This window comes from Homo sapiens, chromosome 2 (assembly GCF_000001405.40).
Source record: "Homo sapiens chromosome 2, GRCh38.p14 Primary Assembly".
NCBI classification, from domain to species: domain Eukaryota; kingdom Metazoa; phylum Chordata; class Mammalia; order Primates; family Hominidae; genus Homo; species Homo sapiens.
This window is the reverse complement of record NC_000002.12, coordinates 230,304,066-230,329,534: the sequence shown is the minus strand read 5'-3', so window position 1 is coordinate 230,329,534 and position 25,469 is coordinate 230,304,066. Positions and strand designations below refer to the sequence as shown.

General features: G+C 47.7%; 2 protein-coding genes across 56 annotated transcripts in view, besides 4 other annotated features; both read right to left on the bottom strand.

Annotated features, from left to right (window-relative positions):
• The window catches only part of SP140L (SP140 nuclear body protein like), a 76,540-nt gene extending 74,198 nt beyond the window's left edge, over window positions 1-2,342 (bottom strand). For 13 of the 21 annotated variants that reach the window (XM_047446412.1, XM_047446413.1, NM_138402.6 and 10 more), the window contains exons 1-2: window positions 2,234-2,342; window positions 704-778 (exon numbers count right to left, since the gene is read on the bottom strand). In XM_047446412.1, the coding sequence (XP_047302368.1) occupies window positions 704-778; window positions 2,234-2,265 (107 nt within the window). In that variant the 5' untranslated portion in view covers window positions 2,266-2,342. The remainder of the gene's footprint in view (window positions 1-703; window positions 779-2,233) is intronic. The other 8 variants (NR_148198.2, XM_047446415.1, XM_047446416.1 and 5 more) reach the window with 1 other exon arrangement.
• Window positions 2,199-2,668: an enhancer, noted in NCBI's record as "active region_17218". NCBI's record gives its function as "activates an Ori minimal core promoter by ATAC-STARR-seq in GM12878 lymphoblastoid cells {active_cell/tissue: GM12878}" and the evidence as "EXISTENCE:reporter gene assay evidence [ECO:0000049][PMID:35858748]".
• Window positions 9,909-10,058: an enhancer, noted in NCBI's record as "active region_17217". NCBI's record gives its function as "activates an Ori minimal core promoter by ATAC-STARR-seq in GM12878 lymphoblastoid cells {active_cell/tissue: GM12878}" and the evidence as "EXISTENCE:reporter gene assay evidence [ECO:0000049][PMID:35858748]".
• Window positions 11,189-11,238: a silencer, noted in NCBI's record as "silent region_12409". NCBI's record gives its function as "represses an Ori minimal core promoter by ATAC-STARR-seq in GM12878 lymphoblastoid cells {active_cell/tissue: GM12878}" and the evidence as "EXISTENCE:reporter gene assay evidence [ECO:0000049][PMID:35858748]".
• SP140 (SP140 nuclear body protein) overlaps window positions 12,964-25,469 on the bottom strand; it is a 130,421-nt gene continuing 117,915 nt past the window's right edge. For 28 of the 35 annotated variants that reach the window (XM_047443073.1, XM_011510517.4, XM_011510518.3 and 25 more), the window contains 5 exons: window positions 19,496-19,611; window positions 18,684-18,792; window positions 18,304-18,381; window positions 17,940-18,083; window positions 16,320-16,949 (listed from right to left, as the gene is read on the bottom strand). In XM_047443073.1, the coding sequence (XP_047299029.1) occupies window positions 16,851-16,949; window positions 17,940-18,083; window positions 18,304-18,381; window positions 18,684-18,792; window positions 19,496-19,611 (546 nt within the window). In that variant the 3' untranslated portion in view covers window positions 16,320-16,850. Of the gene's footprint in view, window positions 15,257-16,319; window positions 16,950-17,939; window positions 18,084-18,303; window positions 18,382-18,683; window positions 18,793-19,495; window positions 19,612-25,469 lie in introns of those variants that run through there. The other 7 variants (XM_011510516.2, XM_047443078.1, XM_047443076.1 and 4 more) reach the window with 2 other exon arrangements.
• Window positions 16,077-17,276: an enhancer, noted in NCBI's record as "CDK7 strongly-dependent group 2 enhancer chr2:231176974-231178173 (GRCh37/hg19 assembly coordinates)". NCBI's record gives its function as "activates an origin of replication core promoter dependent on BRD2, BRD4, P300/CBP, MED14 and CDK7 cofactors, with strong dependence on CDK7, by STARR-seq in HCT116 cells {active_cell/tissue: HCT116}" and the evidence as "EXISTENCE:reporter gene assay evidence [ECO:0000049][PMID:35650434]".

Sequence of the window (25,469 nt, the reverse complement as noted above, 5' to 3'; positions counted from 1 at the left end):
ATCACCTCCCACCAGGTCCCTCTCTCAACACCTGGAAATTACAATTCTGATTACAATTCAAGATGAGATTTGGGTGGAGACACAGAGCCAAACCATATCACTAGATAATTGTCATGGAGGAAAAGTTTGAGACAACTATTGTGAACTCAAAGTAAAAAACTGAAAAGATGAAAGGACCACGGGGAAGATAAAAGCTGTGAAGGCTGAAGTTGCTCCAATGTAAGAATAATTTTGCCTAAAAATTGAAAAAGAAAATGTCAGAGATTTTAGAGAAGGAACTTTTCCTGGAACAAAGGCAGAATCAAATCTGCCACCTTAACAGAAGAACGACTTTAAAAACTGGCCGTGCTCACAGAGTGCCTCAGCAACTCTCTGCATCACTATTTATAATGAGGGTGCATCTGTCTTATAAAATCTATGTCGTAAGATGTTTATACATGAAATTTTAAGCTGTTAATAAGATAAAAGTCACCATATACAAATGTAAGGGACAAGAAAAGTATATTTATACTTTGCAGAATATTTAGTGAACTCTCCCATATCATGAAAAAAAGACAAACACCTCAACTGAATCACATTGGCAAAAAATAAACAAAAAAATTATGGAAGAGGAAATTTCAGTGGCCAAGAAACATGAAAAGCTGTTCAGCTTTCCACATTATCAGGAAAATACAAATTAAAACAAATTGTAATTCTTCATCACCTTTGCAGACTTTGGCTGTGTGCAGGAAGATGGTTCATCTCATTTGCTACTTGTGAAACACCTCCGTTCAGCCCCCTAAAAAGACAATTTGGCAGGATCTATAAACAAGTAAATAACAGCACCCTTTGCTTCAACAATTCCACTTTTTAAGGTTTAGGCACAAGAGAAATACTTGCATATGTGCAAAAAAAAGAGAAATATATAATCATTATTATAGCTTATTGATAAACGTGAACAATTTAAAACAATCTAAATGTCCTTCAATTGGAGAATGGTTAAAAAATTATGCTATGTAAATTCTATGGAATAGTATATGTAAAAAGAGTGAGGTAGATCTATATGCATTAAGGTGAAAAGATCTCTAAGATTTCCACCATTAAAATGAGTAGAAATGCAAAATGCAGAATAGCACGCACAATGTAATTCCATTTATTACAAAACGAGAACACAAATTATATGTTTACAAAAACATACTTCATACACGTAAATGCATCGAAAAATATGAGAAAAGTTATGCCGAAGACTCTTCACAAGACTGTGAAAGGAAGCTACAAGGCGAAGTGAGTGGTGAAGAAGACTTTTTCGTTTATACACTTCTCCACTGTTTGAAATTTTATGAGTAAGAATGTAATGTATTTCTTTTGTATTAAAAAATTTAAAAGATTAAAATCGCTTGAACCCAGGAGACAGAGGTTGCAGTGAGCCGGGATTGTGCCACTGCACTCCAGCCTGGTTGACAGAGTGAGACCCTGTCTCAAAAAAATGAAATAAAATAAAAAGATTACGTAATGTTATTTATAAACTCGTTACTAGAGAAAAGATAGGATTTCCATCTCTTTTCTGGTCAGAGGCATCCCCCATCTTGGGACAGGAAATTGAAGTAAAAATAAAAATATTTAGCTTTCTGCCATCCTGGGCCTTTTTCTTCTTTTTCCTTCTTTGGATCAAGGTCAATTGTATCAGAACTCACACCCTGAGTCAGTCAAGGAAATAGCCCCAAAGCTGACTGAGGCCCCTTGCCAAGACAGGTGAAACCACAGTTTCCAATGTTTAAAAGTAAGCCAGCTGTTTACCCTGGAGTGTCTATTTCCAAACTACCTTCTTTGACATGACATATGTGAAGGTAGAGAGGGCAGAGGGATGTGAAAGGGTTGGGAGATCATGAGGAAATGTTTGTTGAAACACAAACATATAATTTGTGTTCCTCATTCTCATGAGGAAATAATAACTCTCAGTCACAAATGACTGAAACGACTGTTCAGAGTGTCCCCGCCAGCTGAGCAGTAGTTTCAAAACAAGAAAAGTCATCTGTGTTATGGCAAGCTGGACTCACACAAACAGCTGTCCTGCTGCAGTTGTAAAAATCTGATTTCCTTATTACATTCTCTTTTATTCCATTATATTACACTACCTACCTATGTTCTTGCAAAGCAGGACTAAACTGAAGCTTTAGACAGAAACTGAACTACAGGCATGAAAGCTCCAATACTGCCAGAGATAAAGGTGAAAGGAAGAGAGATAAAGACTCACCTGGTGCTCAGGTCGCTGCCCCCACCTGCCATCGTCCCACCCTAGGCCCTGCCTGGGTGTCAGAGCCTGGCCTATGAGCTCCCCAGTCGGCCCAGCCTGCGTGCAGTGTGGCTGCCCTGACCCGGAGCAGGAAGTCGGCCGACAGACTGACTCACCCTCACAGATTTCTGCCCAAATGGGGAAAAGAAAAGTGAAAGTATTTATTTAACTTCCTGCTGGGATACAGACACCGTGTTTCTCCTCCTTTTTCACTCCAAGGGGTTCTCAGCTTTTCTGAAATGTGGCAGACGGTTGGAGGAGAGGCCTGACAAGCAGCAAGACCTGCAGGACCAGGGAAAGGAGGGCCCAGAGGACGAGCAGGGCTGGCTTCCGGGAGTCCACTTGCTTGTGCAATGGACAGCAAAAAAAAAAAAAATGTCCTTGAACCAAAATAGTCCTTAGCTGCTCTGCCCTCTTAAGAGGGGGCATAGTTTACATGGGAGTTGGGGGGAAAACTCCATGTTTGCCCCTTCCCCTTGCTGAAATGGCTGGGGGTGAGAGTTGGAGGGTTGGAGGGAAAGCCAGAAACTTCAAATCTTCTCTCAGGCCCATGGGAGAGCATGGACTGGACTAAGGTAGGTCCTGACATGGGGACCCAGGGCTGGAGAGAACCAAAATGCTCAGCATTATAACCTGGGGAGAGTGTTCTTAGCCTTCCTGGAAATCAGCCAGAAGTAAGAGAGAACTCTCCACACCCCTGGGACCAGAGGCTGGAGCCAGCATGGTAAGAAAGGCAAACATTTTAAGGGGCAAGGGTTTAAGGAATCTTGACTATGGGGCCACCTTGGAACAGCCAGGGATGAAGAGAGCTTCGGAGAAGTCACTGGAATCTTGAGAGAACAAAAGCTTCTCATTGGAGGAGGATGGAGGTTGGAACCCAGATGATCTAGACATGGAAGGGCAGGGTGGCTCCCGCGGGAGGTTCTATCTCTTCCCAGATTTTCCATTTAGATTCTGATTCAACATTCCTCAGAGAACAAGAAGCGACCGAGAAGACTCGCTTTACATCAGTATAAAGTCATAGGTAAAGAAATAGAAGCAAAGGGCGCATGAGAATGGGGCCACAGGACACAACCAGGGACCAGAACTCCAGGCTGGACCATGGGGCAGAGACAGGGAGGCAGCTGGGAGCCTGGGGGCGCTGGAATCCAGGGCCCAAGGTGAGCAGAGGGTGGAAGCTGGTGAGGATTCAGGGGCCAGAGGGGATGGTGCTCCAGAGCCATGTTTTCCAAATTACATTCTGCTGAATCCAACTTTTTCCAGCCCCCACCCCCAGCCATCTCAGCAAGGGGAAGGGGCAAACATGGAGTCCTCCCCCAACTCCCATGTAAACTATGCCCCATCTTAGAGGGCAGAGCAGCTAAGGACAATTTTGGTTCAAGGACTTTTTTTTTTTTTGCTGTTTATTGCACAATAGTTGGAAGCTGTGAATGCTTGTTCAGGTACATTTGAAAATACGAGGGTGGGGGGTTTCTACCCTGATTCTACTGGTGCCCTGCTTTCCCCAAAATGAGTTAATAAGCAGGTGCCAAGACACTGGTGAGGACAGCTTTTCCAGTGGGCGAGGTCACTGTTTCTATCAGGTACTGCACACCTGTAGGTCTCTCTCTCTCTTTCTCTTGCTCGCTCCCCCATGACTCCCCAGTTTTATGGAGGCACAGTGGCTGGTAAGCTGAGCATCTGTTGGGCACAGTTGTCCTCTGATCCCAGTCTCCATGGAGCACAGCAGCACTGACAAGGCCTGGCGCGGACCACACCAGTCGGCTCTGGCGTCTGCACTCACCCCTCTCACTGCTCTTGGGCAGCAAGCAGGCCCAGGCCACTGAGTGGCACTGACATATGTACCAGCTTTTCTCTGGGTGTGCTTAGGGGCTGGAATTCCAGACCAATGAGCTGGCTGGAAATCTGCAAGTGTTGACCTTTACAGGTGGACATGCCCTTGCTAGGGCAGCTCCTGACAGCAGGGAAGGAGATGTTCTTGTCAGACAGGGTTGGAAAAAGCTGAGCACACACCACACTCTGCAAAAGCAATGCCAGTTAATGGAGAATCTCTAGGCTTCTGTGGGAAAAGCAAAGTTTCTTTGATCTGGAATACATCAGACACACCTGGGTTGGGAAAGGGACAGGACCAAATTAAGAAGTAGTATGAAGTTCTAAAAATCCTGCTGGATTGTTTAGAAGGAAATAATGGAACTCCTGGAGCATTTTCTATGGCTGCAAGGAGTACAGGCAACAGGGAATGTTTTTGCTGTCACAGAAGTAGTTCCAGTTACTGGAGCCTGGAAAACTCAGAAGCAGGAGAGGCAGTGATTGAGGAAGAACCACAGGCAGGGCACCCATCCAGGTGATGGGCCTTCGTGAGCTTCACCAAAAGCAGCTTCAGTTCAGACTTCAGTGGCGAGGGGTGGGGAGGGGCTGTGATTCTTGAACCTGGGACCCCCATGTGGGAACCCAGAGGTCTATCCCTGAGATGAGGTCATTGGCGTTATGGACCAGAGAGTTTCAGGGCAGGAGGCAGCTGCAGCAACAGTGCCACTGGGGCATGAGAATAGAGAACCTGGCCAGCCTCCAAGGGACGTAGAAGTGACGAGTGAAGAGTAGGCGCCTGGGATCTTTAGTGGGAGCAGCCAGTCCTGCCAAACTGTCTCCTTCTAGGAGGTGGAACATCAATCAATCAAGGCTTGGTCCCCACCCATCTTCTAGGGGACTCTTCTCTTCTAGGGGACTCTTCTCTAGGAGTGGGAGTGAGCCTGCTCCTTGCTGGGTGTCCCTGGAGTCATCCTGCCTGCAGAGACCAAGACTCTGTTGGCCCCTCCAAGCTCAAGTGCACAAGGACAGGGGCCTGCATGGCATGAGGGAGGGTTCGATGCCATGGGGATAAGCCAGTTCTGGGGTTTAGTGTTAGGGGTCCCTTTACTGCCACATGTCTAAGCCACATTCCTAATCCAGTTCTTATCAGGAATAAAGCTGGTATTTTGATCCCCATCTGTTTCTTCATTTTGCCTATATCTTAAAGATTTCAAGCACATGGGTACACATCTCTCTTCTCAGGTTCTCTTCTATCTGTGCCCCAGATGGGTAGAGGCTGGGATCATAGTTCCTTGCAACTGCATGATTGTGATGCAATTATCCCCTGGGCTCAGCGGGCATTTGGTGGCAATATTTCAGCTTTTAGGAAGTTGGGTGAGACCAGGCTGGTCTGATCCTCCCTGGCCCACTCACCAGGGTCCCCTGCTCAGCACAGCCTCAGTGACTGGGCTCCCAAACCTGCAACACTGTAAGATGCCAGTGGGATTGTTGGAGGTGGAAATGTAATTATTGCTGTTGGAAGGGGGTGAATCGTTGGAAAATGGGCGAATGGGAAGAAGTACCCTGGCGCGGAGGAAGAGGCTATGGGTGAAGGATTGTAGGGAGTCAGAAAGACAAGGGGAGCATTGAACAACACAGGAAGTCCCTCCGGCCACCTTCTGAAGGTGGGGACCATTCATGAGAAACCCCGAGGATGCCCTCAGTCCTTGTGCAGCACCAGGAGGAAAGAGACTGGCCCAGGGCCACCCCTGAGTCCGCATCATCACACAGGGTCCTTCAGCTGAGCCCCTGTTGTATCTGCAGCTGGACATGCACAGATCCCTGTCCCATGGTGCTGACGAGCACCACAGGCTCCTGGTGGCCCATGGAAGCCACCTCATGCCTCCTTCCCAAGGCCATCCAGCCAGCAAGGCCTGCCACAGACACACTGTGAGCATGCGCAGCGAGCAAGGGGCCAGTGACCGCCATTCCCCATGTCAGCCTCCCGTGTTCCCGTCCAAGCGGCCACCCCGTGCTCCTCCAGGCTCCGCCCCCAACTGGGCCTGCACCCCCTCTCCTGGCGACGCAGGGCACTGCAGCCTCCTAAGGGCTGGGTGGAAATAAAGCTGAAAATCGTCCTCTACTGGGGATTATAGCTCACCAAACACTTCGAAATGTGTGGTAGAAGTGCCATAGTTCCTTCTAAATAAAGTCGAACCCATGTAAGGACTGGATTCTGAGATCATTTTGCCATCCAGCAGCTCACGAGCATCACCAGGGCACCGCCTGCCCTCTGTTCAGCCCGTGAGGGGCGGGGGACTCTGCCCTTCACTTCTCCTGGTCCCTGTCCTCTTCCCTGAGAACTTCTTTCCTTCTGGAACCCCAAGGTGGCCCTGCCTTCTGGACCTCCCCCAAGGCTGAAGCCCTCAAGCTTGCCCCGCACCTTGAGGCCCTGCAGGACACTCCTGCAGTCCTTGCAGGGCACGCTGATGTGACTCGATGCTGAGCAGTTGAAAACATTCAAAAATAGTGGGCAAATGGCAAAAGCGGGTGGTATGGAGTGAATTAGAAGACATGAGGTTTCATGTAGTGCGTTTCATCCAGACAAGTGTGGCAATGTCCCCCACCCCAAACCCAGTCTCCCTGAATGAGGGGAAAGAGCTTCACCTTCCTTTACCCTCAGGGTGTAAGAGTTAAAGAAAGGGGAAAGAAACATGAAAAGTGGCTCAACAGTTAAAGACAGGTTTATTTTGGAGAATAAACCTGAGAGGGGATTCTGGTCAGTTTTGGTCAGGAGCATTTTCTCTTACTGACTAAGGGTATCTAAGGGTTTAGGAAGTGGGGAGCTTATAGCAGGCTGGGAATGTTTCCATGTGAGAGAAGGTTTATTGTGGGGTTGGAATGTCTCTGGTGGGAGGGGAGGTTGTCTCAGGGTTGGCATGTTTCTGGTTGGAGGGGGGTGGCTTATCTTAGGGTTGGAATGTTTCTGGTTATGCTGACATTAGCCATTAGGCTGATGTTTTTGGGCTGGATTTAGGGGGCTTTTTAATTAAGGTGAACTTAAAATTGTGGTGTTTGTCCAAGATGATGGTGCTCCTGCTCTGTCACAGGGCTCCTCTGAGTCTTAGCTTCCCTTTGAGCCCCAACTGCTGGACTGAAAAAGAACGACTCTCTACAGGTTCACCACGTTTCACATTCTGGAGATTCCTGATGGCATCTTCCTGTGTTCACCAGTGGGTCCCCATTAGCACAAATATCAGCTATCATCGGATATTTGGAACCAGGCAGCTCCATGTTGGATGTACCCCACAAGGGTGGAACTAAGGCTGTGGGGTCAAACCTGCCCTCAGAAAGGTGGAGGAATGTCTTCTGAGCTGTGGTGGGACTGAGGTCTCCTTGTGAGCTTCAGGGTCCCAACAATGCTGGGCTGGGCACCACCAGGAGTGGAGAGAACCTGGAGGCTGGGGCTGGAGGCAGCAAAGGCTTCAACGAAATGTGCAGCCTTTTAACAAGTCCTCACTCCTAATATTTCTGCAAACCTCCATGTGTCTACTAGTTTCAGCACAGTGAGCTGGAATGGAATGGTCCCTGGACTATCCTAGATCTTAGGACTGCCAGGTGATGCATGTGTGGTGAGAGAAGGAGAGTACCTCGTGGACCATCCAGATGGTGTCCACCAGCACCTCATGGGCAGCAACTTTCATTTCTTTGGGCTGGAAAGTGGGTGCTCCTATGAAGAACAGGGTACCTGGCAAGGACCTCAGTGTTGCTGAACAAAGGAAGAGTGGGGTGGAAAGTGTAGCTTCATGAAGATTTAGAGATTATGAGACAGGAAGTACAGTTCTAGCAAAGGCCAATGCCCATCTGCCAACCATGGTCTGGAGGAGATGTGCAGGGAAGGGGTGGAGTCTGCCTTTCCACAGGTGCTCCTCCTGGAAATGTGGGTGGGAAACAGCTGACTGGACCACTAGGGGGGGTTCTCCCAGGGCACCTGTGCCTAGCAAGGGCTGAGAAAACCCTGTTTTGAGGATGAGGTGGGTCTTTTTAGCCTGTCAGTCATAACAGATCTGGTCTAGGAGAAATCCAAAATAAAGTCTAATGAGCTCTCACCAGGGCCAAGCGGTGGGAGCTTGGTGGGACAGCCCTGTGCATTTCTCATAACTGGTGCACGTGCTTTTCATGGGTACAAATGCTGTGCCCAGGGAACAGGTTGGCATCATATAGGGCCCCAGCCCACTAGCACAGGACCACCTGGTCTGGCCAGGCCATGAAATGGCCCTGGGAACCAGGCTTTGCTGGGAATCTTGTGTCTCACCTTGGGATGAGGTTGTCAGGGCCAGGTGGGCTGTAAAACTGTCAAGTGGAACAAGTTTTGGGGAGCAGGTGGCCTCCAGGGCCTTCTGGTCCAATGTCTTTCTGGACAACATACTGACACAGTTGTGCTGATTCCCACAACAATGACATTGAAGTTGAAAACTCATCCATCTCAAAGATCAGATGGTTGTAGATGTGTGGTATTATTTCTGGGCTCTGTTCTGTTCCATTGGTCTATATCTCTGTTTTGGTACCAGTATCATGCTGTTTTGGTTACTGTAGCCTTGTAATATAGTTTGAAGTCAGGTAGCGTGATACCTCCAGCTTTGTTCTTTTGGCTTAGGATTGTCTTGGCAATGTGGGCTCTTTTTTGGTTCCATATGAACTTTAGTTTTTTCCACCCACAGGATTATAAATCATGCTGCTATAAAGACACATGCACATGTATGTTTATTGCGGCACTATTCACAATAGCAAAGACTTGGAACCAACCCAAATGTCCAACAATGATAGACTGGATTAAGAAAATATGGCACATATACACCATGGAATACTATGCAGCCATAAAAAAGGATGAGTTCATGTCCTTTGTAGGGACATAGCTGAAGCTGGAAACCATCATTCTGAGCAAACTATCGCAAGGACAGAAAACCAAACACCACATGTTCTCACTCATAGGTGGGAATTGAACAATGGGAACATTTGGACACAGGGTGGGGAACATCACACACTGGGCGGGGCCTATCATGGGGTGGGGGGAGTGGGGAGGGATAGCATTACGAGATATACCTAATGTAAATGACGAGTTAATGGGTGCAGCACACCAACCTGGCACATGTATACATACGTAACAAACCTGCACATTGTGCACATGTACCCTAGAACTTAAAGTATAATAATAATAAAAAAAAGAAAACTCATCCATCTCATCTGCTACTGATCCATTTTCTTGATGTATAGGGGAATAAAGGGTAAGTTCCCTGACAGATCCACTTATGCAGCTACTAGCCAGTTGAGAATGGCCAGTGGACTCAGTCTAGTAGGTGACACCCTCCTTTCCAGAGAGAATTGGAGACCCCTCTGCACTCCCAACACATACCATCTATGGCCTATTACACCCTCTCTCATGAATAATTCTAGAGGATGTTCAGCCCATTGAATGTGGAGCTATGGAAGTGAGGGGCTCGCATTTATCTCAGAGCCTGGATTCCAGGCTCAGCTGTGATGACAATAATGGTATTCTTGAGCTGTGCTTGTAAGAATTTGGAATTGGAAATTGGGTCCTTCCCCACTGGGGAGCATGAGGAAGTGGGGCTGGGATTTACCATTTATCATTCAGACAATGGCACAATGCAGGAACCCAGGAGTTATTTCTTGTATTTCCTGAATAAGCACAAAACAAAAAGCACCAGCCAGCTCCTGTACAGCACTCTGGGCCACATGTACTGACACAGATGTTACAAAACCATCTAAGAGCAGACATGTCCACTGGCATGCAGAGTGCACCAGCCATGGGCACAATCCCATTCTGTGAGACTCAGAGGAGTGAACACAGACACCAGAGAGAGAGCCAGAAGTGGTGGCTACATCATTATATGGCCAAGACTCGAGGTCCTGAGATCTCAAGGCTGAGGTCCTGCATCCTCCTCCCCACCCAGACTCAGGCAACTGTGGATGAACCCTCTGGAGGATGAGGTGAACAGGAGATGGAAAGTGGTCCTACCCACCTTTCTGGCAGCTCTGGCAGGATGCGGTTAAATATGTAACCACATGTCTCAGTAGAGAAGTAACCCCCTTCCCTGAACAGGCCACACCCTAGTTTCCTGCTTAATGCTGGCGGGGCCACACTATACAACTCTAGAGTGTGCTGTCCTTGTGTGAACTGGTGTAGACTCTTTCAGTCACACACAAATGGAGTTCGGCGGAAAATGTGAATGAAGATTTCAGGAGAGCAATATCTCGGTGTTGATGTAAGGTAGTAAGAGGTGGTTTCATGTCAGATGAAAAATTCCAGCCCAGAGGAATCTGAACAGAAGTGATAGCAGAAGGTGGGAAGGCACCTGGTTAGTCACATTGACCTGCAGCACCCAGTGTCCAGTCTGCATCTAGAGTGACTACATTGGCAGCTAATTGCTAACTCTAGCTTGGATCAGAACAGGAAGAGCTTTTGTTCTGGCAGGTGATTTCTGTGTTTAGGTTCAAGCCACACTCTAGTTCTTGTCTGCAGTGGGCAAAGCTCTGCTCTATGTTCAGACTGATTTCACTTCACTCCAGGCATCAGCCAGAGACTTGGGAAGGGTCATACACATTATCTGAGTTCTTTTCTGTGGCTTTTTGCCTTCTGGGATTTTCCCTTCATTCCTTAGAAAGCCTGGTTGCTCTGGGCTCTTCCCCATGGCTTGGCCAACCACAAAGAAGGTAGGCTTTCTATCAAAGCTTTGGTTGTGCCACACAAAACTGTTGTTGCTCTCAGGGACAGGCAATAAAAAACAGGAAGTGTCTCTTCGAGTTTCATTTACCTTACAGAGGCCTCAAGCCATTGTTTTTTGACTACCGTCCAGAGTTTCTAGCTGTCCTCTGCAAGAGGACTTGATGCTCAGGAGTTTCCTCCTAAATATCAGAAGCAGAACTCCCTGCTCCTCACTCCTAAGCAATGACCCAGCCCTACCCCCCTCCCACACTCAGGCCTGCTCCTGGGGGCACCAGAAGTTCTAGAGAGACTCCCCCAGGCCCACTGCCCACCCAAGAGAAGAGACACCACTAAACATAGCATCAAACAGGAAGCGCACCTTCGTTATGAGATATACAACTCAGGACTACGCATACTCTGTACTTTTGCGCTCACAGGAGTTGACTTATTTCAGTAAACAAAATAAGAAAACAAATAATACCCCTGGAGAAAAGGCATGGGCATTCTAGAATTTCACTGGAGTTAATTATAAATCATCTATATAGATGAGACATATCAGTTCTTGCAGAGGAGTCTAAGTGTATTTTTTGTCTTTGTTACAGAAGGAGATTGAGTGATGGTATCGAATCCTGTACTTGTTTCAGGGACTTACTGAAGCAGCCACCTCTTTCCAAGGGATTCAGGCCCTGTCCTTCCCTCTGCCTCCTTCCTGCTCTGACTTCCCTGAGCATCTAACTAGGGAATAAATGGCACCCTACTGGGCATATGTGAGAGTTTGATGTCGCAGGAAACAGTCATGACAACTTTAGTTCCTGGGCTCCAATTCCAGAGCTTTGTGAAGCCTCCCAGGGCCATCTACCCTTCTTCCTGGTGGAATGTGCTTCTCCCAGCTCAGCAGAGCAGGGTGTGTGCTGATGCCCAGGACTCACCATGATAGATTCCAGCTGAGAGGTCATTACCGAGAGCTCATGACCTCCCAGCTCAGGACAATTACAGCACCGGGTCCTGGCAGCTCCCAGGGACACAGCACACTCCCAGAGGGTAGGAACCCACCCAGGATCCAGCATCTCTTTGAATGCAGGTGTACTGGATTGACACCATGACAGGTATAGCTCCCATCCTTGTTCTTGGTTGTCCAGTGGTGTAAGGCAGACTGCCTTCCCTCTAGAACAGTGACCAACTCAGCCTTTGCCTCCGCAGCACAGGGCAATGGGGAAACAGTTACCTGGTCCCATGGACCCAAGGAACTTGGCAGCCCCCCAACTCTGCGGCCTCTCTGACTGGCCTGGAATTGCCCCTGTTCCTCCATCAGACAGCAGTGGTCCAGGCCTTGAGTGTCCCAGGTGGGTTCCCTTGGTCAGCTGTGATTTCCTTGGCTGTCCAGCCTCCTCCATCCCCCTTTCCTAACAGTCCCCAGTTCCTTTGGGTGAAGGAGCTCTCCCTTCTGGGTGCAGGAGTGAGGAGCTGTTCATCACAATGCTGGCCCGTGAGCAGGCCAGGCCAGCCAGACGCTGTGTGGTGGGAGTTGGACTCTTGAGTGAAGTATTGTGAGGAGTTTTTGTTTTTTGTGTTTTTTTAAAAAAAAATTAGTAAAATTATTAACATCCTTAAGGACACAGCTGCATCATTCCTGGCGCTCAATGCCTGGAACCACTCTGATTCCTGCCTTTTTCCAGGGCTATTTGCCAGCTCAGTACCCCTGCCTTCCAGCCCTTTCTGTGAGGCACTGTGTATTTCATCATCAAAGTCCCTTTTTGCCTAACCTAGATAAATTGGGTCTCTCTTGATGGCAAAGAGCCTGAATTGATACAAGGGTGTTTGTGTTCATCTTAGATTTGTTTATTTATTACTTATGTATTGCATGCAGGGCCAGAAACTTTCTAAGTGAATAATAAATATTAACTTATTAATCCTCACAATAATCCAGAGGGTTACCTCAATTTTACAGATGAAGCAGTGCAGGGGAAGGATGAATAGCTTGCCCAAGCACACACTGCCAGCAAGTAGACATGTGCAGGAGCTGGGCTTCTACCTACACGGGCTACATTCAGAGTCTGTGCTCTTAAATGCTAGCCTGTGCTGCCTCTCAGTACAAGTTAGTATTGCTTACAAGACCAAAAATCACTAACTAGCCAATAACAATTCAGTTTGGATGAAAAAAGGAAAGGTATGGCAAGGATGATGTAGAGCTGTATTTATTGATGTGACAATGTCCATTGTATGTTATTAAGTGAAAAAAGTTGATAAGCATTTTTTATTTATTAAGATGGTATACCCACTGCCTCCCTACTCCCTGTCTCCCAAACACACACACGTTACAAAGCCTAGAATCACATTCATCAGAATGTCAACCATGGTGATTCTCCTAACCTGAGGAGGCCCATCAAGCTCTGAGTTTCTTCGTGGTAGGAGGTATGAGCTGCAATAGCTTGGAGCTTTGGAGGGGATACACTGACATGCTCCAGACCATTGAACCCCTGACAGCTTACCTATATGGCATATCTCTGAATCTTTGTAACGTTTCTCTCCCACCACCTGCAGTGTTTGTGATTTAGTAAGTCATTCAGAATAGTCTATATTTCTCACTTATCAGGCCCATGAACATACTGTCATCAATCCAGTGGACGAATGTAATGTATTCCAGAGTTTCCAGAAAGGCTATATTGTAACACGGAGCAGGATTCACATTGCCCTGGAGCAAGACCGTAAGGATATACTGTTGTCCAATCCTTGAGAATGTGAATTGCTTCTCAACCTACATCCTGCTGAATCCTTTAAAAGTGGCATTTCCATATTAATAGTTGCATATCACTTGCTAAGGCTGTGCTAACCCATTATAATAAAGATACCATATTTGACACAGCAACTATAATTGGGGCTACTCCTTGGTTAAGTTTTAGGAGCCATTTAGCAGCATGAACCACCAGGAGATACCAGAGGGCAGACTGCTGAATTAAAATGGAGGTGTAACTGGGGTAACAACCCCTGCCTCCTTCAGGTCTTTGTAGGTGGCACTAATCTCTATCACTCCCCAAGAATGTGATATTGCTTTTAACTTACTTGTTTTCACCATGAAACCTCAGTTTCAGAGGCTTCTGCTTGGCCTTCCCTAAGACAGTCATTGTTATTTCATAGTTTAGGAAAGCCCAGGTTAAGGAACCGGGTCAGCCAATTGCTACGTATTATGATGTATGCATGAATGTATATCCTGATTATACATTCAGGAAGAGGGGAAACGATTGCTGGGTGGCTCTGTGGATCCAGAGGGCCCATTGTGAGATGGACATTACCTGATCTCCACATACTCTAACAGGGGCTATGATAGGGCTTTGAGTCCCCAGGGATTAGCATCAACTCTGACATTGTACTCAACATCCCTTGAAAGATCTGTGTATTTTCCTTTCCCCGGCATGTGAGTTACTTGAATAAATGGCCATAGAGCCCTCCCGTGAAAACTTGAGGGAATCAGTGATGTGCACATTTACAAGGTTCTTCCTTATGAGAAACTGCCCTCATTTCCATCATGGGTTCTGGATTCCATTGAGAACTGGCTGAGGTTTGGAAGCTGGGCAAGGGGTCTAGACTTCACCTTTAGAGAGCTGACCTCAGCATTCTGCTCATTGATGTCCAATCTTTTTTGATTATATGTCTAAAGCAATATCCTTGTCAGCTGCCCATCTATCTTGCCTATAGGAACAGCATATCCATGCATGTCTGTCTTCATAGATACCTACAGGCCAGGCCTTCCAGCTGTCACTCTAACATTCATGCCCCTTAGGGAAATTACTTTATCTTGCCCTCACAGTTAAATGCTGCCTCTTGGCCTCTGTTATGCTGGAACTCTTTCATTTTACTCACTACTGGGGGATCCAGTTCTATAAAACATCCCTAGCATTATTCCAGCTTGCAGGGGGCAGCCACCATTGAGCTTCTCAAGGATGTGCTGCCCCCTCAGCAGTGCATTCCTTCTCCCTTTAGTTAGTGTCTGAGACACATTAGTAGTGTTCCCCTTAGGAGGAACTCAGTCACCTGATGGATGGATTCTCCAGTTGTAGAGTGCAGAGTCATTCTAGCACACCAACTTCTCTATCCTTGGGACCCACTTTTCCAGACTCTGCCACAGTAGTTCTGGTATCTCTGCTTCCACTTGATTTAATGTGTACCATGGCTTATACTAAGTCTCTAGGAGCCACCCAGGAGTATATCAGAATCATCACCTTTGGCCCATGCCAGGCTAGTTAAACTCTGTGGTAGCGAAGCTTGCCCTTTTGTCAATAATTCTCACGTATCTGGTTTCACATTTCACCCTTCCTGGACCAGGATCCACTCCCAGACACAATCTCCTTGCTCCTGCTGATGCACGCTGGCCAGTCCTACAGCTCCTTCGGAGGATAAACGCTCTCTTCACTTTGCCGCCCTGCCCATGACTGTTCACTTGCATTGTCCTGAGCGGTCTCTACACAGTCTTCCTTCTAGAAAAATCGGGAGTTGGGTGGGGGTGGTAGCTCATTCTTCCAACAAGGGGAAAGAGGATTTTTCTGTAGGCCCAGTGAGTTCAGGGGGCATCTGGAGTCAAAGTTCTCAGGTACCTCTATCTAGATAGCCCCATGCTGAGTTTCATGGCCTTGACATTGGCATAAGAGACCATCCTGAGCTTAGAATTCAGTCTTCTCTGAAGTTTGACTCTTTGTAAAATAAAGGCCTGTAATAGGCATTCCTTGCTGTCTGCCTTCCAGCTGCAGGTGTATGAGGGTCTCTTCTCCTTAGGCTGGTAACGACTAGATCTAAACCTGTCATTTACTCTTTTCAGGACATTAATGGCACTTAGCAATAGCCACCAAAACCCATACTTCTTATAGTTACTTTTCCTCACTTCTTAAATGCCAGACAATTGTACCAGCTATTTTACCTCTTGACCTGCAGCTCTTCCAATTTACTACAGGTGAAAATTTGGGCAACTGCTCAGTGATAGCACTTCTGGGGCTATCCATATTCTGCCCAGCACCATTGGGCTAGACAGTGATCCAACTCCAGAATCCTGTCCTCAGAGCTCGCTTCCTGGGGCCATTACCTTAGGTTGCATTCCCCAGAAGCACATTCTGGGATGAAGTCCCTTAAGCAAGAGATTGATGGTGAGGGTTCGCTCAGAAGGGAGTAGGGGAAGCAGCATCGTGTGGCCAAAAGCTAAACCAGGGTGTGGCCACAGCTGGAGACTAGCTCCAGCCTGATACCTGGGAACACAGAGTAGCCGCACACCATACCTTTGGTCCTGCTTTCAGGCAAGGGGGCTGGCCTCAGGCCACGGGGTGTCACTTCCAGGTGAAGCTGGTTCCACTTGACCCCGGGTAATATTCTGGGGACTACTGGCATTAATTAGCAGCCACCACTCAGCAGTTGGGGATGAAAAGACCTGGCCAGAAGAGGAGATGGTGCCAGGATGCCAACAGCTTTGCAGGGGAGTGAAAAATGGCTTCCCTCTACCCTGCTAGGTTCTTTGGTTGAGCTATGAATGAATTAAATTGACAAAAGCAGATAAACAGGAGGAAAAAAATTTTAATAACATATGTTTGCACAGGAGTCCCACAAAATATGAGACTCCGAGAAGAGTCAGATGATGGACACTCATGCACCACCGTGAGCTATCGAAAGAATGTGGGCTTAGGGCTTCTGCATGGAGGTGGCCACGGAAGTGGGAAAGTGAAGGCAAGAAGTGTGTCCTGAATAAAGCTTGGCTGGTTTTCAGACAAAAGGTCTTCTGGGTAATAAATGTTGTCTGGAGCAGCCCTCAGGAGAAGAGGTAAGAGCCTGTATGGGATGGTGTCGCTGCCAACATCCTTCCCTGTGATCCCACTTACTCTTCCCTGGCTGATGAGATACTTGGGGTTGTGATTCATGATGATTGAATTTCCTTTTGAGGATTTGTCTTTGGGCAGATGAAGGAGGCTCAGAGAAAAGCCCCTCCCTGCATGTGCTGTGCCCAAGTGACCTCATTTTGAAGTCAGTGGCAAACCAGCGGCATATTTTAGGGTGCCATTTGCTGAATGCTTTCAGCATCCACTAATCCAGTCAATTGTTCCCATTTGTTTCCTGAATAGCAAACACTTCCTTGAAATTCTTCTCAAACTCAGCCTCCAGTCTAAATCCCATTTGGCCAAAATCCTTGTACTGAAAAAATAATAAAGACAAAAACAATGCTCCTCATCATTAGCGTCATGAGACACCTTTCAACTGAGAATGATCAGGACTCTTGTCTTTAAAAAAAAAAGTACTGTAAGTCTACAATTTATAATGGCATATATTTTGGAGTACAAAGTAATGTTGTGATTTATGACTGCTATGTGGAATAATTAAATTGAACTAATTAACATATTCATCACCTCAAATAGTTATCATTTTTTTGTGGTGAGTACATTTGAAATTTACTTTCTTAACAATGTTGAAGTGTGAAATACACTATTATTAAGTAGAACACTTATCTTAAACACCCTAAGTTACATTAACCAGGTTAAACTTGAAAACTCATGCAGCTAAGAGTAACTTCCGTTTCTTACCAGCATGATCCTTTCTTATTAACAGGGCAGAAAAGTGAAATCATTTCCACAGCTGGGATTATTACTTCTTTGCCTTTGGTTGCTTATTTCAGTGGGTTAGAAAAGCAATCTAGGTTCTTTCAACAATTCAGATAGTGGAAGGGTATAAGGTAAGATCACTGATCTGTTCCTTTCTCTGTCACTTCTACTCCTTGCTGGCAATCCTTGTTGGGATATGGTCTATTCACATGCAAAGAATCTGGAGTTTGGGATTTCTGGGATTGGGAGCAGATAAGAAGCACAATACCACTTTAAGATGAAATTCTCTCCTCTTTATATGCTGCAGCAGGCAGGATTCAATTGCTCTCTCTGAGCTCCTGTCTCCTCTGGGGCAGGTGGGGGAGGAGCTCTCAGGGACCTGGGGTTCTGGTTGCAGGGACACCTTTTGATTCACTGTTTCTTTGCTAAGAAGAGCTTAAGTTCTGAACTGAAACCAATCAATCACTTCCAGAACCCTTGCTCGTGCAAGCTTATTACAGGATGAGGGAAACTAAATTTTTCTTGGCACCAGAAAATGAGGGGAAGGATGGAAAGAAATGAAATGGAAGCAGGAAGAGCCACCTACCTTGTAAGAGGCCCTGTGGTTCTGGAAGATGAGGCGCATGTCTTGTACAAACCCCTCCACTTGGGGGTAACCGTGCTCATTCAGCCTTTTCTTGATTTTATCCAACCACATGGGCTCCTTCAGGCCTTGACACGCCTCTCTAATCTGGTGACAAATATACCAATGGAAAAGCTACCAGCATAGTTCAGTGTCTACCTTCTGTGGATTCCCATAAAATCCAGCAGAAATACAACAAGGTGAAGGCAACTAACGACAGCGTGTGCTCTTGCCCCGTGGGATTAAGATCACAAATCTCACGAGGGCCCATTTCAGGGTCAGGTAATGTCATGGCAGCCTGTAATCATGGGTTGCTGTTGTTACTTACATAATAATAGTATGGAATCTTGGCAAAAAAGGAGCTCTCAGAACAGCAATAGACTTTCAAGAGGAGGAACTCACATTTCTGCAAAAGAAAGAGGCCGTAAATGAAAAGCAGCTTGGAGAGAATGAGCCCACATGCATGAGACACAGCACAGAACTCACACCCTTCTTCCTCAAGTTTCTCTAACATGTGTGGCTCTTGGAAACAGACATGTCATGGCTGAGTTATTTTTTGTGCAAACAAGGTGTGGTGTTCTATCAGTGCCATTGAAGTGTGGCGCGGAAGAGCAGGCTCCTTTCAGTACATTCCCCTGCCCTTGCGCTTGTTCATGGTTCTCACGTGTGAGGGGAAAGGAGAAGGCTTGGGGTTTGCATCTGATTTACCAACTGTTCCTCAGGACACATCTGCCTCTCCAGGACCTCAGATTCCTGACAACACTGTTGGCTTCCCGGAGACTCCTTCATCCTGCAGAAGATGCAATTCCACGGGGTCCTGAGAGATTGGACATGGGTGAGCAGAGGGCAGGGAGCTTGGAAATGGCCACCGTTCCTGTGGCTACCACTGTCTTCCTTCAGGAATGGCTGATGGGCTCAGTCATGGGAGGGAGGGGAACACCTCCCAAAGTATGCAAGATTCACACATGGGGTCTCCAGCCATTGGCCTTTCCCTCGCATCAGTGGTAGCAGCAGGCAGGAAGTCTGAGGAAGGTGGTGTCACCGTGAGTGTGGACTCTCCTTTCTCTGTCTGAGCTGCTGGGAGCACAGGGAACCCTGTCTGTCAGGCCTGAGTTTCAGAAACTGGGTTTTCAGCCCCAGGGACCTCGGGCCTCCAACAGCCCAATGAGATCGTGCTTCCTGTCTTGTATGAATAAGCACAAAATATAAACAACTGGTGTTTCTTGTCTCCAACCCACCCAGCTGCAAAACTTCAAGGAAAGGACAATGCCGGTATGTAGGCAAAGGTCCCCAACACTGCCCTCAGCATATCAGAGGAGGTGTCCCTGAGAGCACAGAGGACATTAACCTCCTGCTGCCAGCGTCTCCCACTGCTCTCTGGATCACACTGCTGGGTCCCAGTACCCGATGAACCTGCTCTTTCCCCATCTAGACACAAGCCGGCACTCTGCTGGAGAGTGCGCATGGCAGGTGGAAGATCCCTTAAAGGACAAAAAGAGAGACGCCTGCATGTCACTTACCTCTCAGCTTCCACAGGCGGGATGTGACAGTCCTCATGGAAGACTCTTGAACAAGTGTCGCAACAGAACAGCTCCCCTCCGTCCCGGCACACCTCACACTCATCCAGGTTTCTCATCTAGAAGATAAAACAGTGTCCACGTCACTGGGAACCGCAAGATTCAGGAAGGCCAACCCTCTGGGCAACTAGAACACACTGCCTTTGTGTGAACCTGCATGGACAGGCAAATGCTTCTCCCTGGGATATGAAGGAAAAACATGGCATGGAGATTTCAGAACAAATCCTGGTCTGCAGTGAAGTTCAGGAGGAAGGGGTATGGGTCAGAATTGAAAAGTCTTCCTTATGAAACCAGAGATTGTAATGAAGAAAGACTAGCAACAAAGCAAGATGATGATTTTATAGGAATCTGAATAATTTCCTTATTCTGCAGATAAAACCAGGTTTTGAAATGAAGTGTTAAATCAATTTGCCTATACCACAAATCAACTAGTGAAAAGGAGACCTAGCTAATTACATATGATGGAATAAGCTTCTGAGATATCACCACATCCCATATTCTTGGCCATAAGTTCCCCATGAGTTGAAGAGAGGGCCTAGTTAGGGATTCCTAGACTGTACGTTTTGTGCCTGGAGGGCTCTACGCCGACCTCTGAGGGGGAAGGACCGTGGGTGGAGATGACCAGGTGGGCCCCAGGAAGCACAGAGCTCTTCAGCTCTGGGAGCCTGGCATACATCCCCCTTGACTTAGCTAACTTGGATTGTAAGGTGCGAAGGTGCCATCTCTGATGACCAAGGACAATGGTAACAGCACCATACAGTGTTGAAGACAGAGGCCCTCACCTCATTTCCTGGGCCCATAAAAGAGCTGGTGCTTTGTTCTATAAAAGGAATGGTAAATCAACGAATTCTCCATTTCTTACAAGTCTCAATATGTGACACCTTTAGCCAGATTTAATTTCATTTGGGGAAATTAAAATATGATGGTATTTGCATCCACGTGTTGTGGAGCAAATCCCGGTCATTAAAAACCAACAGAATTTATAGAGCAAATATAGAGACCAATACATACATGCTGTATTGTAGACAAATACATGTGTATTTACAACAAAGAACCAGTCTGTGACTGAGCCCTTTGCCGTTCAAGTGAAAAGTGCTGTAAGGACTAAAATTAGAGTTCAATATTATGTGCAGCCTGGACATCTGGTAACACTGGGAGGGCCTAGAATGGTCTATCTACAAGTCCTCCGCCGGCTCTGCTGCTGCAGGTAAGGTTTCCTACCAACACTTCTGATCAAGAGGACCGCTTGCACCTTCTGCGTATTTTTGAATAGCTGATTTCATTTCCCTGCCAGCCATGGAATTATTCAAACAAGCCAATCACACTCTCCCTCTGGAAGCAGGGGACAGCCCGCCCTCCACAGCCACTGGCTGTTTCCTCTGTTCCTGAGCGCAGCCCCCATGTGGCCCTGCGTGGCGTGGGATGCCTGCCCACCCCCACCGGGCTACCGAGTAAATGTGACTAATACACTGCTGTCAATCTCATCTGTCCAGTGTCAGATGCTGTGTGTTCCACCATCTCCAAAACCCTAGGGAGGGAATGAAGTACCAAATGTTTAAGTATGTCGAATCCTTAATCTTTTTAAAAAATTATTATTTCAATAGTTTTGGGGGAACAGGTGGTTTTTGGTTACATGGATAATTTTTTTAGTGGTGGCTTTTGAGATTTTGGTGCACTCATCACAAGAGCAGTGTACGCTGTACCCAATGTGTAGTCTTTTATCCCTCACCCTCCTCCACCCTTCCCTCTCAGTCCCCAAGGCCCATTGTATCATTCTTATGCCTTTGCATCCTCATAGCTTAGCTCCAACTTATAAGTGAGAACACACGTTGTTTGGTTTTCCATTCCTGAGTTACTTCACTTAGAATAATGGTCTCCAACTCCATCCAGGTTGCTGTGAATGTCATTATTTCATTCCTTTTTATACCTGAGTAGTATTCCATGGTGTGTGTGTGTGTGTGTCTCTGTGTGTGTGTGTGTGTGTGTGTGTGTATATATATATATATATATATATATATATATATATACATGCATGTCCAAGTGTCTTTTTCATATAACTTTTTTTCCACTAGGTAGACACCCAGTAGTGTTACGGAATCCTTGGGGTATTGCTTTTTCTTGCCAGAAACCTCTGTAAGCAGTTGTGCCTTTGCCTGAGTTTTGCTCAGGCCCACTGGGCTCCTTCCACCCACTTGGCCTGGCAGGCTGCACTTGGCTCAGGCTACTGGCCTGGATCGCATACCTACCAAGGGCCTGCCATGGGGCAGGTCAGGCATGGAGTGGGAGAGGCGTGTGAGCAAGCATGGGGTCCAGCCACTGCATACAGTCAGACATGCCTGCTATTGCATAAGGGCAGGCAACTCCAGGTGCTGGCATGAGCACTGGCTCTCTGCAAGGCTGTGTCTGGACCAGGCACACTGCAAACAGCTTCCATGGCTGGCAACAGGGGATGTGCTGGCACCTAGAAGCTTGAAGATGCCAGGAACCTCAGAGCCTCCAAAAGGGAGTCACAGCCCTGGCTCAGGGAGCTTCCAGGTCTGGGCTCCCCAAAGGGCTGCAGCTCTTCTCTCCTTCTCTTCACCCACAATGCGGTGATCAAGGGGCATGTTTCAGCCCTGTTTGTGTTACAGCTCTTTTAGCCTCACCATTCAGCAGATCCCAAGTTCTTTTGTCCTGCAACCAGGAAGAATGAGGGACGCTGACAAATGGAGGGTGAGCAAGACGAAGAGGAGCTTTACCGAGCAGTAGAACAGCTCAGAGACCCACTGTGGGTAGCTCCTTTCTGCAGCCAATGTGTCCTGACGAGTGTTCAGCCCTCAGCAAAGAGGAGGAGGTCCTAGGGTGGGTGGCTTCTCTCTGCTGGCAGGTAGTCCCTGGAGTGTGAAGCTCTTCTCTGCTGCTGGTTGTCCAGGATGTTCTCTCCAAGTCTGACTGAGTCCAGAGCTTTTATGGGCTTCAGAGGGGAGGAAGTGTATGCTGATTGGTCCATGGGTTACCATGAGCAGGCCTTTGAAAGGCATTACAAGTTCCCACTCTGGTCCATAGGATTGGCAGCCCAGTTCCCAGCCTTCAGGCCCTCTCTTGCCTGAAGGTGGTGCCTCACCAGGGACCTGCCCCTTCCCACCCAGGAGCCTGTCTGCCTTTCCCCACCACCCATGGTGCCCAGGCCCCTTGCCCAAAGGGGCACCTGCAGGCCAGTGCTGAGCTGGCCCCAGCCCATTCTTGGCCTCTCTCCTATGATCGTCAGCACCCAAAATCCAGAGGGGTGCAGGCAGCAGGGGCCTGGTGTGTCAGCTCTGCCCCAAGCATGTGCACACCCAACAGGGCTGCAACTGCACCTGGGCTCAGCCCCAACCCTGCTCCAAGATTGCAGCAGGTGCTGGGAGCAGGGAATGGCCAGGCAGCAGAAGCTTCTGTTCTGGCAGGTGGAGGGTAGCCTCCTGGGCCCCCAAGAGCACTGGGAGGCCCAGGCCTACAGCTGCAACCTGGGCACCTGCAGTTGCGCATGGCGAGCTCCTGCCCTGCCAATTTGGGAGAGGCAGGGCTCCTGCTTGTCCTTGGCTCTGCAGAGTGGGGCGGCCTCAGCCATGCCCCCTCTCTGTGTCTCCTGCAGCAGTTGTGGATGAGGTGCAGGTGGCACAGTGCCCCAGCCAACCTCACACAAAGGAACCTGACACTCAGGGGCCAGTTCTGTGAGTCTCGGCTGCACCTTTGGCCAGGTGCTTGCAGGTTCCCAGGATGCAGTGGGGAAAGAGGTCCAGGCTGTGATAGAGGCTCTGGGCCTGAGAGCAGGTCCTGCCGGCTGTGTGAGGGTGAGGGTCCCTGCCTCAGGGACACAGGGCACAGGGACCCACTGCTGCCACTGCTGCTCCTCTGGCCGTTCCTGCTGCCCTGTCTGCCTCCTTGCAGCCTGGGTTGGTGGCTCCAGCCCTTGCCAGGCCCAGGCCAGCATCTGGTGCAGGGGTGATGTTGGCTCAAGTTCCTCCTGTGGCCCCAAGGCTCAGGGATGGCTTGGGGCACCCCCTCTCCTGGCTTGTGACCCTGCCTGGGGGAAACCTCCAGGACCGGATTGCCTCCCCAGTCTCAGCTGCTGAAAGCACCAGGCACAGCAGTCACTCTAACTCGGGGCAGATCCTAGGGACACGGCCTCTGGCGGCCCTTTGTTCAGCCTCCTGTGAGGGGCGGGAACCTGGCGCTGTGGGCAGGGTGGGTGCAGGGGCCGCATTGCTGGCTGGGTCCTGGAAGTGGGCGCCACTCCCACTTCCCACCCCGGCCCCTGAAGTGTGGCCACTGCTCCGCGTTCGGGCCCGACCCCCACGCTACGTGTGCAAGTGCCGAACCACCACTGGCCCAGCTCCATCTTGGGACCTCTCTCTGCTCACCCCTCCCTGCCTGACCACGCCCTACGGGCAGCTGGGCCTAGCCCCATTGCAGCGGCTCCCAGAGGAAGGCTCCCAGGGCAACTGGCTCTGGGGATCTCCTGCCTCTGTGTCTGCCCCCTAAGACCCACGGCCAGCGCCTGCACCTCACTGCAGCCAGCTTCATGGCAGCAGCCACTTCAGACTGCCTGCCGCTGCCGTCAGTAGTGGGATTGCTGGATGAAATGGTAGATCTACTTATACTTCTTTAAGGAACCTCTGTACTGTTTTCTGTAGTGGCTGTACTAGTTTACATTCCCACCAGAAGTGTAAAAGTGTTCCATTTTCACCACATCCATGCCAACACCTATTATTTTTTGATCTTTAAGTTATGGCCATTCTTGCAGGAGTAAGGTGGTATCGCATTGCGGTTTTGATTTGCATTTCCCTGATAATTAGTGATGCTGAGCATTTTTTCATGTTCGTTGGCCATTTGTATATCTTCTTTTGAGAATTGTCTATTCATGTCCTTAGCCCACTTTTTGATGGGATTATTTGATTTTTTCTTGCTGATTGCTTTGAGTTCCTTGTAGATTCTGGATATTAGTCCTCCGTCGGATGCATAGTTTGCAAATATTTTCTCCTACTCTGTGGGTTGTCTGTTTATTCTGTTATTTCTTTTGCTGTATAGAAGCCTTTTAGTTTAATTAAATCCCATCTATTTATCTTTGTTTTTCTTGCATTTGCTTTTGCGTTTTTGGTCCTGAACTCTTTGCCTAAGCCAATGCCTAGAAGAGTTTTTCCAATGTTATTTTCTAGAATTTATATGGTTTCAGGTCTTAGATTTAAGTCTTTGATCCATCTTTAGTTGATTTTTGTATAAGGTGAGAGATGAGGATTCAATTTCATTCTTCTAAATGTGGCTTGCCAATTATGCCAGTGCTATTGGTTGAATGGGGTGTCCTTTCCCCCTTTATGCTTTTGTTTGCTTTGTCAAAGGTTAGCTGGCTGCAAATATTTGGCTTTATTTCTGGGTCCTTTCTTCTGTTCCATTGGTCTATGTGTACTGGTATATTCTCATACCTGGACTATGTTGTTTGGGTGACTATAGCCTTGTAGTATAGTTTGAAGTCAGGTAATGTGATGCCTCCAAGTTTTTTCTTTGTGCTTAGTCTTGCTTTGGCTACATGAGCTCTTTTTTGGTTCTGTATGAATTTTAGAATTGTTTTTTCTAGTTCTGTGAAAAATGATCATGGTATTTTGATGGGAATTGCATTGACTTTCCAGATTGCTATTGGCCATATGATCATTTTCACAATATTGATTCTACCCATCCACGAGCATAGGACATGTTTCCATTTGTTTGTGTCATCTGTGATTTCTTTCAGCAGTGTTTTGTAGTTTTCCTTGTAGAGGTATTTCATCTCTGTGGTTAGGTACATTCCTAAGTATTTTATTTTTTTGCAGCTAGTGTAAAAGGGGTTGAGTTCTTGATTTGATTCTCAGCTTTGTCTCTGTTAGTATATAACAGTGCTATTGATTTGTATATATTGATTTTG